This window comes from Homo sapiens, chromosome 2 (genome assembly GCF_000001405.40).
Source record: "Homo sapiens chromosome 2, GRCh38.p14 Primary Assembly".
In the NCBI taxonomy this organism is placed as follows: domain Eukaryota; kingdom Metazoa; phylum Chordata; class Mammalia; order Primates; family Hominidae; genus Homo; species Homo sapiens.
The window spans coordinates 138,160,718-138,176,439 of NC_000002.12; positions in this window are offsets into that span (position 1 = coordinate 138,160,718).

Sequence of the window (15,722 nt, forward strand, 5' to 3'; positions counted from 1 at the left end):
CAGGAAAAGGTAAAACATCCATAATATAAAAGACTACATTTTTATTTCTTCTATTAATTTCATTTTATGTAAAGTACTAACTGTAAGCAGACTATATTATGATACGTAATGAACAAAAGCTTAAAAAACAATAAAGAAATGAAAATAGAATACCAAAATATTCATTAAGCACAATATAAGTCAGAAACGGAAGAATAGAGAAACAAAACCAGATACGAGAAAGAGAATACAAATACCAAAACGACAGACATAAACACAGCTATACAAAAATTGTTTTGAATGTATATGGACTGAGTACTCCAATTATAGAGCAGATATTCTCAGACTGGGTAAAAAAAAACAAAATGTAAATATTTTCTATCTACAGGATATCATTTTAAATATAAAGATACAGATAAGAGGAAAGTAAAAGGATGGGGAAAAAAGACACACCATGCAAATAGCAAGTAAATGTAATAAAGCTAGTAGGAATGCATTGATATAAGACAAAGTAGACATTAAGACTAGAAATACCTTACTACTGAAATGAAATGTGGAAAAACTAGAAATATAAGCAGAAATAAGGAAATATTTCATAATGTGAGAAGGAATAAGTAATCAAGAATGTATAACAATTATAGATATGTAGATACATAACAATAGAGTTCCAAAACGCATTAAACAAAAACTGACAAAACTAATGATAAAAATAGACAAATTTATCATTGTAGTTGGAGATGTCAGTACCTTTCTTTCAGTATTAATTGAAATAGGAATACAGAATATTTGAACAACTTGATCAACCAACTTGACCTAATTGACATTTATAGAATAATGCATCTAACAACTACAGAATAGACCTTCTTTTCATGTACGCATGGAACAGTCATTAAGAAAGACAATATACTGGGTCATAAACCAAGTCTCAATGCCTTTTAAAGGACTGAAATTATATAGAGCTCTGACTACAGCTGAATTAAAGTAGAAGTCAATTATAAAAAATAGAAATAAAAAATCCTCAAATATTTGGAGATTAAACAACACTCTTAATTAATTCATGGGTCAAAGAAGAATCACAGAAAAATAAGAATTTTAAACCAAATGTTAAGAAAAATAAAATATGTCAATATCTACTAGATGTAGATATTACATCTAGTTAAAATAGTACTTAAAGGAAAATGTGTAGCTTTATATGATTATGTTAAAAGAAAAAAATGATTTGAAATCAATGATTTAATTTTCAACCTTATAAGCCTATAAAAAATAAATTAAAAACTAAAGTAAATTGTAAAAAGAAAAAATAAAGATAAAAGCAGAAAACAATAAAATTAAAAACAAGAAAATAATAAATACAAATAACAAAGCAAAAGTGTCTTTTTTAAAGTTTAGTAAAATATAAATCATTAAAAATAATTCAGTTTTAAAATAGAAATTTTCCACAAAGAAAAGCAAGCACAGATAGTTTTATTGGTGAATTCTATCCTATTTAAAGAACATATAAAACCAGTCTTAGGCTGGGTGCCATGGCTCATGACTGTAATCCCAGCACTTAGGGAGGTTGACGCATGTGGATCACTTTGAGCTCAGGAGTTTGAAAACAGCCTTACCAAAATGGCAAAACCCTGAGTCCACAAAAAATAAAAAAGTTAGCTGGGCATGGTGGCTCATGCCTGTGGTCCCAGCTACTCAGGAGGCTGAGGCTGGAGGATTGCTTGAGCCTAGGAAGCGGAGGTTGCAGTGAGCCAACATCGTGCCACTGCCGACCAGCCTGGGAGACAGAGTGAGATTCTGTCTCAAAAAAAATAAAAAATAAAATAAATAAAACCAATTTTGCACAAAATATATCAGAAAATAGAGAAGAATACTTCCCAACAGATTTTGTGAAGCCAGCCCAACGCTTATGCTAAAGTCCAATATTAACATTAAAATACACAAACAGCAATTCAAAATTCTTAATAAAACAATTAATTAACAAATTAAATATAGCAATATATAGTATATTAGAGACAAGTAAAATGTTTTTCAGAAATCTTAGTTTGGTTAAACTTTCAAAAATGACTCAATGTGATTTACAGTATTAACAAAAGACACATTTTTATGTCAATAGATACAGTCAAAAGCATTTGACAAAATCCAATACCCAATTATTATAAAGCTCTTAGCCAAATACGAACATAATTTAACTTTCTCCATCTGATAAAATGCAATTATGAAAAACCTACAACTAACATAATACTCATTTGTGAAACTGAATACTTACCTGCCAAGACTGTGAACAATGCAAGGATCTACACTCTCTGCACTTGTATACAACATTCCATTAGAAGTTCTAGCTAGTGCCATAAGGCAAGAAAAAGAAGTAAATGGTATAATAATTAAGTGGAAGATGGGAGGCAAGCTTAATTTATGGACAACAGCATTGTATACATAGATACCTTTTTGCATCTACAGAAAAAATTGCTAGAACCAATAAATGAATTTAGCATTATAGTAGTGTATGAGGGTTAATATACAAAAGTCATTGTATTTTTTATGTTTTGTATATTTATTTATAAAATAATTGTATTTCTAATATTAGCGAGCAATTGGAAAAAAATAAAAACTAGTTGCTTAAAAAACAAAAAAACTTGAAATCATTTTAATAAAAGATGTGTAAGATTTCTAAACTAAGTATTTCAATTCATTGTTGACAGAAATTAAAATGAAATTTTAATTTCATTTTAATTCTAATGAAATGGAGAGATACACCATGTTTATGCACTAGAAAATTCAATATTGTTAAAATGTCTTATTTTTTTCAAATCAATCTATGAATTTAATGCAATTCTAATTAAAAGCCCCAAAAGTATTTTTTTAATAAATTGACTATATGATTCTAAAATTTACATTAAAAAGCAAATGATCTACCAATCTTTGTAAAGGACAAACAAAACAGTCCTTAAAAAAGAACAAAGTTAGAGTATTAAAACAAACTTTCAGGAATCTAGGATCCATGGAAGAATATCTTAAAGCATAATAGGAGAGAAAAAGATTACTTAGGATGCAAAAACAACAATAAAGAATAATTAGACTTCATCAGAATGAAAACTTATGTCACCAAAAGACATCACTAAGAAAATGAAAGTGCAAGACATAAATCGATAAAAAATATGTATTTTACATACATGTGACAACAATATTGTATCTAGATATAAATCAATTATTAAAAGTTAAATCCTCAATTTAAAAATAGGCAAAATATTGAGATACCTCACAGAAGAAGATACATGCATGGTCAAGAAGGACATAAAATGGTTTTTATTATTAATCATCTAGAGAACATAAATTTAAATAAAAATATACATAATGAGATACCACTTCATATCCACCTCAATGGCTACTGTTAATGATTGATAACACCACTTACTGGCAAGAATGGAAAGCCACTAAGTTTTGCACATTATTGATGAGGTTTAAAATGGTACAACTACTTTGGGAAAATGTTTGGAAGTTTTGTTAATAAAGTTAAACCTGCATTTACCCTATCACCCAGCAATCCCCCTCCTGGGTATTTGCCCAAGAGAAATTAAACATGTCCACAAAAAGACTTGTGTAAAAATGTTCATTGAAGGTTAATTCATAGTAGCTGCAAATTAAAAACAACCCAAATGTTCATCTGTGGGAGAATTAGTAAACAAAGCATGCTATATTCATGTAATGAAATACTATTCAGCAATGAATAAATAAAATAAATACCGAAATACACAACATGCATGAATCTCAAAATTGTTGCATTAAAGAATAGAAGTCGTATACAAAATATCACTGAACTTTTATAAACCTCAAAAACACCTTTTTTCCACCTGGCTTTTAGCATGTCTCAGGCACTTGGAAATAGAAAGATAATAAATAAAATAAAGATCAACTCTGTGAGCTTTAATTCAAGATGGAAAATGGGAATCCACCAGAATTGTGAAGGAGACCCTGGGGAGCAGGATATGGGCAAACAGCTTCCGTGATGACATCTAGCTGCTAAAGGTGAGTAAAGCCTCAGTACTGAGAAAAGCAGAGAGCCTTCCTCTGTGACTTACCTTTCCACTGGGGATCTGAACAACCCAGGCTGAGGGAGAGCGCTTTGTTTCCCCTAAGCCCTGGAGCTAACTTTGGGAGAGAAGAGGCTTAGAGGAGAGACACTGGGAAAAGCTACAGGCTTTTTAATTTGAGCTCATAAAAAATCAACCATTTTTTGGTAACCCAGCATTGTGGTCATGCTGGCATTTTAGTCTTGGGCCAAAGATTAGAGCTCCTGCTCTGGATTTGGGTAGGGGCTGCTGCAACCAGAACTGTGGGAAGCACCTCAGCAGTAGGAATTGGAACTGTGCTGTCCCCAGTCATTAGCCCAGAGTGGGAGGAGAGCTGCTATGGCTGCAGTTTCTTCTGGGCAGTGAGACTTGCAACCAGGGCCAGCTTGGTGACCTGAAACCTGCCTGTCCGTGTCATTGCTGGGTGCTGAAGCTGACTTCCCTGAGGTCATAGTGCACCAGAGCCCTCTCCACTCCACTCTCTGTCAGAAATCTAGGCATTTGGAGCATACGCTTGCCTGGAACAGCCGCCTGAGCCACCCCACCCTTCCTGGATATAAATCGTGGTGCAGTGGAGCCATCTCCACTCTACACACAGGCAAATCGGCAGGCATTTGGAGCACCGATTCATGTGGACTAGTAATCTGAGTCACCACATCCTTCCTGTACAGAGATCCTCGTGTAGGGAGGCCGTCTCCAATCTATGGAGAGACAGGCAAATCTCTAGGCATTCAGAGCACCCCTTACTTAGATTAGAAGCCTGAGCTGCTCCAACCATCCTGTACAGAGATCCTGGTGCAGGGGGTGCCCTCTACATTTCATGCTCATGCAGCTCTTCAGGTACTGCAGCACTCAGTCCCCTGGATTAGGAGTTCAGGCTGTACCCCCTGCCCATGAAGAGAACTTGAGGCTGAGAAGGTTTTGCAGTTCCACACCTAGGTACATGTCTGTGTGCTTGGTGGCCACTCACTGTATTCTCCACTGGGACTGTCACTTGTGCCTGCCATCAGGGGACCTATAGGCCAACCTGTCTGATCAAGCCCAGCCTATCTTTCTCCACAGCCCCCAAGGGCTGAACAGGGTGCTCAGCCCACTGTGTACTCCATGAGTTGACCTATTGCCTGAGCAGCAGAGAGCTTCTTCCAGTAAACAAGGCCAGTAGATACCCAGCCACATTGGCCACAGCCCATTCTTACCCATAAGTCCCATGGACTGGCTTGTAGGTCAGACTGTACAGCCCAGTGAAAAAACATGCTGACAGAACTGCATACAGCTTTAGAAGCAAACCCAAAAGATGCCATCCAGCATTTTCTACAGTCACACCCCTTGGGAAGGGGTGGAAAAGGAAAGGGAAAGAAAAAAAATCATAATGATATTTTAGGAAAAGAAAGACAAGGGGAAAAAAATCCTACTTGCATGAAAATAATTACAAATATTAGAAGTGCCTCCATCTCCAGATGAGAGGGAACCAGCAAAGGACTTCTGGTACCATGAAAAATCTAAATGTAGTGACACCACCAAAGGAGTACACTAGCTCTTCAGCAATGGTACCTAACCAAAATGACAGATAACCAGAAATGACAGATAAAGAATTCAAAGCAAGGATTGCAAGGAAATTCAATGAAATCCAAGAAACAGTTGAAAATCAACACACACAAACTTCTAAAACAATCCAGAAAATGAAAGAAGAAATAAACATCTTAAAAAGAAATCAGTCAGAGCTTCTGGGATTGAAAAACACACTTAAATTTTTTCAAAATACAGTTGAAAGCTTTATCAACAGAACGGATCAACCAAAAAAGAGAATCTCAGACCTTGAAGACTGATCTCTCAAACTAACCCAGTCAAACAAAAATAAAGAAAAATAAATTTAAAAAGTAAATAAAATCTTCAAGAAATATGAGATTTTGTGAAGCAACCAAATCTACAAATTATTAGTATTCCTGAGAGAGAAAGAGGAAAAAGTAAACAACCTAAAAAATATATTTGAGGGAAATTCAAGAACATTTCCTCAATCTTGCTAGATGGATAGACATCTAGATATAAGAAATCCAGAGAACACCTGTGAGATACCCTACAAAATGAGCATAACCAAGGTATATAGTCATCATACTGTCCAAGGCGAACACTAGAGAAAATAATCTTAAAGGCAGCTGAAGAAAAAAGTCAAATTACATACAAAGGGAATCCTTTCAGGCTAACAGCTGACTTCTCAGCAGAAACCTCAAAAGCCAGAAGAGATTGAGGACCTATTTTAAGCATTCTTAAAGAAAAGAAATTCCAACCAAGAATTTTATCTCTTATATCCTGCCAAACTAAGCTTCGTAAGTGAAGAAGAAAAAGTCTTTTTCAGACAAGCAAGTGCTAAGGTAATTTGTTACAACTACACCAGAATTACAAGTGATCCTTCAGGGAGTTTTGAACATGAAAATGAAAGAACAATACCTACTTCCACAAAAACACACTTAATTACATAGCCCACAGACCCCATAAAGCAACCACATAGTAGGGACTAGAAAACAACAAGCTGACAACTTCACAATAGGATAAAACCTCACATATCAATATAATCTCTAAATTATTCCCTCAAATGATCTAAATACCATACTTAAGAGGCATAGAGTGATGAGTTGAATTTTTAAGAAGACCCATCCATCTGCTTTCTTCAAGAGACTCACCTCACATGTAATGACACCCATGAGCTCTATGTAAGAATTGGAGAAAGATCTACCACACATATGAAAAGCAAAAAAAGCAAGGGTCGCTATTCTTATATCAGATAAAAACAGATTTTAAACCAACCACAGTAAAAAAGGACAAGGAAGGGTATCACATAATGATAAAGGGTTCAATTTAACAAGAAGACCTAGCTATCCTAAATATATGCACACCTACCATGGGAGCTCCCAAATTCATAAAACAAGTACTTCTACATCTACAAAAAGACTTAGATGGCCACACACACAATAATAGTGGGGAACTACATGACCCCACTGATTGCATTAAACAGATAATTGAGGCAGAAAACTGACAAAGAAATTATGGACTTAAATTACATATTTGACCCATTGGAATTAACAGACATCTACAGAATACTCCACCCATTAAGCACAGAATATGCATTTTTCTCATCTCTTGTAACATACTTCAAAATCGACTACATGCTCAACCATAAAGCAAGTCTCAATAAATTCAAAAAAATCTAAATGATACCAACCATACTCTTGGACCACAGTAGAATAACAATAGAAATCAATACCAAGATGATCACTCAAAATCACACAATTACATTGAAATTAATCAACTTGCTCCTGAATGACTTTTGGGTAAACAGTGAAATTAAGGCATAAATCAATAAATTATTTTAAATAAGTGAAAACAGAAACGCAATATACCAAAATTTCTAAGATACAGCAAAACTGTACCTACCTCAAAAAGTTGGAAAGATCCCAAATTAATGATCTAACATCACTACTAGAGGAACTAGAAAATCAAGAACAAACTGACCCCAAAGCTAGCAGAAGAAAAGAAATAACTAAAACCAGAGCAGCACCAAATGAAAGTGAGACCCCAAAATCTATACAAAGAATTAATGAAACCAAAGGTTGAAAAAAATAAACAAAGTTGAGGGACTGCTAGCTAGGTTAGCAAAGAATAAAAGAAGGTCCAAATAAGCACAATCAGAAATAACAAAGGTGACATTACAACTAATCCCTCAGAACTAAAAAGATTCTCAAGAACTATTGTGAACACTTCTATGGACACAAACTAGAAAATCTAGATGAAATTGACAAATTCCAGGAAACATACAGCCTCCCAAAATTGAATTGGGAAGAAATCAAAATTCTAGACAGATGAATATCAAGTTCCAAAATTGAATCAATAATTCAAAAACCTACCAATCAAACAAAGCCACAGGCCAGATGGATTCACAGTCAAGTTCTACCAGATATAAAAAGATCTCATCCCAGTTCTACTGAAACTAGTCTAAGAAATTAAAGATGGGGACTCCTCCCTAACTCATTCTACAAAGCCAGCATTACCCTGATACCAAAACCTGACAAAGACACAAAAACAACAAAAAGAAAACTATAAGCCAAGCCAATATCCCTGATGAACAGATACAAAAATTCTCAACAAAATATTAGTAAACAGAATCAAGTAGCACATCAAAAAGTTAATTCACCATGATTAATTAGGATTTCTTCCCAGGATGTGAGTTTGATTAAACATACAAAAATCAATAAATGTAATTCACCACATACAATTAAAAACAAAAACACATGATTATCTCAATAGATGTGGAAAAAACTTTTGATAAAATCAAATATCCCTTCATGATAAAAACCCTGAAGAATGTAGACATTGAAGGAACACACCCTAAAATAATAAAAGCCATTTATGAAAAACCCACAGCCAACACCATACTGAATGATTAAAAACTGGAAGTATTCCCCTTGAGATCTGGAATAAGATAAGCATGTCCTCTCTCATGACTCCTATTCAACATAGTACTAAAAATCCTAGCCAAAGCAATCAGGCAAGATACAGAAATAAAAGGCAACCAAGTAGGAAAAGAAAAAGTCAGACTATCCCTCTTTGTAGACAATGTGATTGTACACCTAGAAAACCCTAAAGACTCCACCAAAAAGGCTCCTGGAACTGATAAGTGACCTCAGTAAAGTCTCAGGATACAAAAATTAATGTATAAAAATCAGTAATATTTCTACCACACTAGTAGTGTTCAAGTTGAGAGCCAGATCGAGAACACAGTACAATTTACAATAGCTACAAAAACACACACATACAACAACAACCACCACCACCTAGGAATACGTCTAACCAAGAAGGTGAAAGATCTCTACAAGAAGTACTACAAAATACTGCTGAAATAAATCATAGATGACATAAACAAATGGAAAAACATTCCATGCTCATGAACTGAAAGAATCAATCTCATTTAAATGATCATACTGTCAAAAGTAATTTACAGATTTAATGCTATTCCTATCAAACTACCAACATCATTTTTCACAGAACTAGAAAAAAAACTATTTTAAAATTCATATGGAACCAAAAAGAGCCCAAATAGTCAAAGTAATTCTAAGCAAAAAGGCCAATGCTGGAGGCATCACGTATCCAAAGTCAAACTATATAATATAAGGCTACAGTAGCCAAAACAGCACAGTTCTGGTACAAAAACTGGCACATAAATCAGTGAAACAGAATAGAGAAACCAGAAATAAAGCTATATACCTCCAGCCATCTGATCTTTGAAAAAGTCAACAAAAATAAGTGGTGAGGAAAAGACTCCCTATTCAATAATTGGTGCTAAGACACCTGGCTAGCAATATGCAGAAGAATGAAACTGGACATTGCCTTTCAACGTATATACAAATTAACTCAAGATGGATTAAAGATTTAAATATAAGACCTCAAACTATAAGAATCCTACAAGAGAACCTAGGATATACCATTCTGGATATCAGCCTTGGAAAATAATTTATGACCAAGTCCTCAAAAGCAATTGCAAAAAAAAAAAAAAAAAAAAAAAAATGACAAGTGGGACCTAATTAAAGACCTTCTGCACAGAAAAAGAAACAATCAATAGAATAAATAAATGAGAGAAAATATTTGCAAACTATGCCTCTCACTAGGATTTAATATCCAGAATGTATAAGGAACTTAAATTAGCAAGCCAAAATAAAACCATTAAAAATAGGCAAAAGACGCAAACAGACACTTCTCTAAAGAAGACATACAAGCAACCAACAAATATAAAAACTGCTCAATATCACAAATCATCAGAGAAATGCAAATCAAAACCACAATGAAATATAATCTCATACCAGTCAGAATTGGCTATTTTTAGAAAAATAAAACAAAATAAATAAAAACAGATGCTGGTGAAGCGTGGAGAAAAAGGGATGCGTATACACTGTTGATGGGCATATAAATCAGTTCAGCCACTGTGGGAAGCCGTTTGGAGATTTCTCAAAGAACTTAAAACGAAGCTACCATTTGATCCAGCAATCACATTACTGGGTATATATCCAAAAGTAAATAAAACAACCTACCAAAAGGACACATGCACTCACATGTTAATCACAGCACTATTCACAACAGCAAAGACATGGAGTCAACCCAGGTGCCAATCAATGGTGGACTCAATTTAAAAAATGTGGTATGTATATGTCATGAAATCCTATGCAGCCATAAAAAAGAACAAAATAATGTCATTTGCAGCAACATGGATGGAACTGGAGGCCATTATTCTAAGTAAATTAAAGCAGGAACAGAAAACCGAACACCTCATGTTTTCACTTTAAAATGGGAGCTAAAAATTGGGTACAATTAGGCATAGAGATGGCAACTATAGACACTGGGGACTACAAGAAGGAGGAAGGGTTGAAAAACTAGCATTCAGTACCATGCTCACTGTCTGGGTGACAGGATCAGTTGTACTCCAAACCTCAGCATCATGCAAAATATCCAGGGAACAAAACCTGTACATGTACACCCTGAATGTAAACTAAAAGTTGAAAATATTTTTTAAAAAGGATTCAAGAATAGGCAAACTAATCTATGGTGACACAAATCAGAACAGGGAATGCCTGTGGGAGTTGTAGATTAAATGGAGGTAAGAGATGACTTCCTGGGATGATGGAAGTATTCTATTAATGGGCATAGCTGTCAGATGGTTGTACATTCGTCAAGTCTCCATTAAATTATGTTCTTGAGAGTGCATTTCACTGCCTATAAACTTAACAAATACGAATAGCGTGTCTCTTGCAAATTTGTGGCCTTTCTACTATTATCAGTAACAAATTATTTAGAACACTTTTTACCCCATGAGTTACCAGGGTTGAGAATTACTCCTCTCAGGCATACAACAAAAAAAATCCATGCTGGAAGTCACTCATAGGAAGTGGTCTAAAGAATCCAATAGCTATATTACCTTAGCATAGTTGCAGGAGTGAGAAGCACTGAGTCAACAAATGTGTAAAGTTACGGATAGAAGTGGCCCATTTCTACCATCGCTTACAGTATAAGAAGTTGTAAGCTGCTACTAGAAGCCACTATTTATTCATTTATTCAATCAAATATTTAACTAGTGGCGGCTATGAATGATACGGTTTTGTCCCTGAATCCCGCCTGCTCCAAATCCAGCTGTGGCTAAAAGCGGCCCAGGTACAGCTTGGGCTGCTGCTTCAGTGAGTTTAAGCCATAAGTTTTGGTGGCTTCCATGTGGTGATAAGCCTGTGGATGCACAGAGCGCAAGAGTTGAGGCTTGGGAGCCTCCACCTAGATTTCAGAGGATGTATGGAAAAGCCTGGATGTCCAGGCAGAGAAGCCTGCTGCAAAAGCAGAGCCCTCACAGAGAAACTTTGCTAGGGCAGTGCAGATGGAAAATGTGGAGTTGAAGCCCTCACACAGAGTCCTGACTGGGGCACTGCCTAGTGGAGCTGTGAAAAGAGGGTCACTGTTCTCCAGGCTGTGGAATGGCAGAATCATCATCAGCTTGCACCATGCACCAGGAGAAGCCACAAGCACCCAACACCAGCCCATGAGAGAAGCCATGGGGGCTGATCCCTGCAAAGCCACAGGTGAGGAGATGCCCAAGGCCTTGGGAGCCACCCCTTGCACCAGTATTCCCTGGATGTGAGACACTGAGTTAAAAGAGATTATTTTGGAGCTTTAAGATTTAATGACTGCCCTTCTGGGTTTTGGACTTGTATCAGGCCTGTAGCCCTTTTTTCCTGGCTGATTTCTCCCTTTTGGAATGAGAGTATTTGCCCAATGTCTATACCCCAATTGCATCTTGGAAGTAACTAACTTGTTTTTGATTTTACAGGCTTATAGGGACTAGCCTTGTCTCAGATGAGACTCTGGACTTTTGAATAAATGCTGAAAATGAGTTAAGACTTGGGGGACTGCTAGGAAAGCATGATTGTATTTTGCAATGTGAGAAGAACATGAGATTTTGTAGGGGCTGAGAGCAGATTTATACAGTTTGGATCTGTGTCCCCAACCAAATCTTATGTCAAATTATAAGCATCAGTGTTGGAGGTGGGGCCTGCTGGGTGGTGATTGGATCATTGTGGGGGCAGATTTCCCCACATGGTGCTGTTCTAATGATAGTGAGTGAGTTCTCATGAGATCATGTTGTTTAAAAGTATGTGGCACCTCCCTGCCCCCTTTCCTCCTGCTCTAGCCATGTGAAGTGCTGATTTCCCCTTTAACTTCCACCATGATTGTAAGTTTCCTGAGGCCTCCCCAGAAGCTGAGCAGATGGCAGCAGAATGCTTCCTGTACAGCCTGTGGAACTGTGAGCCAATTAAATCTCTTTTCTTTATAAATTACCCAGTCTCAGGTATTTATAGAAGTGAGAATGAACTATCACTGTTCTAGGCTCTGGAGATCCAATGGTAATTCCCCTAACATTATGACACTTACAGTATTGTGAGAGAGACATATATCTATCAAATAGTCACAAAAATACATGTGCTAGTATGTATGCATACTAGTATGTACTAATTAGTACTAAAAATATTAATATGAAAAGAGCAATGAAGGAAAGGTACACGGGGCCATAGGAGCTTATCACAATGATAGGAATTCCTTATATTTATTTCTTACAACAACACTACAAAATAAGTGCGATCATTCTTCTTTCCACATAATAGCTGAAGAACTTAAGGCTGTGAGAGCATTAGCAATTTGCTGAAGGTTACAGAGCTAGGGAATGGCTGTGCCAGTGTTTTCATTTTGGCCTTTTATCTCTAGATTCTATTGCCTTAACCACAATGACACCAGTGCATATCTACCTGGTCTGGAGATTCAGGAAGATGTTTCTGAAAAATAAATCTATCTAAGCTGAGATTTGAAGGATGAGTAAGAATTATGTAGAAGGAAGAGAAGGGAGTATGTGTGCAAATCCCCCTGGCATGGCTTGAGCCTGATGTAGTTGATGGATGAGAAAGCTGTGTATATCTGTTAATTTGATGAGATTTAGAGAAGATTCTAAAGATGACTTGACCAGTTAGAAAAAAAATAGACTTTAAAATTTCAAGGCCGGGAGCGGTGGCTCATGACTGTAATCCCAGCACTTTGGGAGGCCGAGGCAGGCAGATCACAAGGTCAGGAGCCTGATCAATATGTGCAACCCCCTCTCTCCTAAAAATACAAAAAAAAAAAAAAAAAAAATTAGCCGGGCATGATGGCATGCACCTATAATCCCAGCTACTCAGGAGGCTGAGGCAGGAGAATTTCTTGAATCTGGAAGGCTGAGGTCGCAATGTGCCGAGATCGTGCCATTGCACTCCAGCCTGGGTGATAGAGTGAGACTCCATCTCAAAAAAGAAAAATAAAATAAAGTTTCATTAATTTGTATTGTTCTAAATATTTTTAAAAGAACTGCTTCTACATTAAGAGTTAAACCCATATTTTCCACGAGTAGCTGAATCCCGTTGGTGTTCCATCCTCAGTGAGGATGAGGAATGGGCCATCTTTCGCTGTACAAGGACCCTTTCAAACTTAGATGCCAGCACTTTTCACTGATTGCTAAGCACTGTGATTGCAGTATGAATGAAATCTTTAGCCCAATTCTTTTTTCTAACCCAGTTGAGGAAAGTTCTTTTCCCAACAACTGTAGCTCCTTGTTCCACAAAGACTCTTCCTTAGGAAACATGAAGCAGTTAATTACCCCTGCTAAACAGCAGGAAGGTAATACTTTTTTCAAATATCAAATCAGTCCAATTTCATTTAGACTTAAATGATTTTTCTGGCCCCTCTTCATGTAGACACCTCCGCAGTCAATTAGCATTGTCACTTTTAATCTTCTGTAGTCAGATCCTGGTCATTTCCCATTAGAGTTCTATTAAATAGATTCTTATGGCCTGGCTGAACTGACTGCAGTGCAGTATCTGAAGAAAGCACGCCAGCCATCATTATGCAGCTGGCATTTACTAAAGGTTAGATATTACTGAGAACCTTAATCAGGAATTATGCTACTTTGACTGAAAATTCACTCCTGGATTTCCTTGACACCAAACTCAAATGCTCCCGGTATACTCAGGCTATGCCTGGATGGAAAGGCACCTTGAATTATGCATCTGAACTCAAACCATTTTAAACTCCATGGCCTTTGAGTCAAGATCCAAAGATCATGGAGTTGTCAGAGGCAGAAGAGCCTGTATCTAGCTGCAATGCCAGGTATGCTCTAACTAAAAAGGAGAGCAGGAACAGTGTCCTCAGGAAAGAGCCCTATTCTACTGTGGCTTAGTTGAGCCTTGCAAATAAATGTAATAACAATGAGACTGTGGAAAACTAAAGGACAGAAAAAACATATAGAAGATTTACATTTTCTAAGTGGAAATAAATACATGGTCAATTCAGAGTAACTCAAAACATATGGCAGAGATGAAAAAGAATCCTCTAACAGAGAAAACAACATGCCAGGTGTCAGACACATGGCTTCCAAATACCCAGTGCTAACTGCTGGTGTGACCTTGAGAAAATCACCTGATTCCACCAGGCCTCTTGCTCTGCAAGTCTCTGGCTCAACATAAACAGGGTACTGAGAAGTGACTGTAGCTGATTAGCACATCTCTCATTAGCAGAATGGAGACCAGGAAAATGAAACAGAATAGAAGACAGAGGAGACCAGCACGAATGGTCCAGCACTCTGCAGCTGGACAGGTGCTCGATGTGGAGTGGCTGAGGGCAAACAGGTCTTACCAAGTCCTAGGAAAAGAGAGGCAGGGAAGGCAGCACTGAAAGACATCTATGTCTACAAGTTTTTGTTGGCAACCCGTCCTAGGGGGTAGAAATCTTCAAACAGACATAGCAGTAGAAGCTATCTCATGGACTGCTTTCTCCTTTCTTCATCCACTGTTAAGGCCTATTCAATAAGTTTCTTAAGCACTTATTAAATAATATCTCTGACCTTTAAGGCTTACTCTTTAGAAAAAAAAAGGCTGACTTTGAACAGATGATCCCAGAGAAAATGATAAAACTCACATTATTAACTTTCTTTTTAGACCAAATTTCTTGACTAAACATGGACCCATTCTAGAGTGGATTACCCCAGCTTCCCTCTTACAAAGCTCTATCAATTTCCTTCTAAGCTGCCCCAAAGAAGTTTTGCAGACATAAACTTCTAGAATTAAACAACAAATGAGACTTGTTGGTAGACAGAGAGATTTGAAATGCTGCTGAATATTTCTAAAGAAATGGAGTGGTTTGGGTTTAGCATACCAGCAACTCAGTAAAGACCATAAAAATGGTCCCCAGGAGAGGTCTTGCTAGAACTATTTTAATAAGGGGCTTAGGATAATTTATAATTAGCCTAGTAGTCAATGTTTGCTAAAGGGCTTGAAAACTATTTTCTTAAACATTTTTTAGCACAATTTCTGAAAATTGCTCTGTCCTATGATCTTTCCATCAACTTAATTTTTTTCATGCAGCCAACATAAATCAGTTGTGATGACTTTAATGTACTAAGGCAGATGGAAGAGGTGAAAAACTAGTGTTTTTGGAATTGTCAGAGAAGGTTTCCTAGAGGACACCTAAGTTGGATGTTAAAGGGTAGAGAAGAGTCAAATTAAATTAGAAAAAGAGAAAAATTATTACCAGGAGGCAGGACCCATGTTGATAACGTTGGCCAGAAGAGTGCTGTTC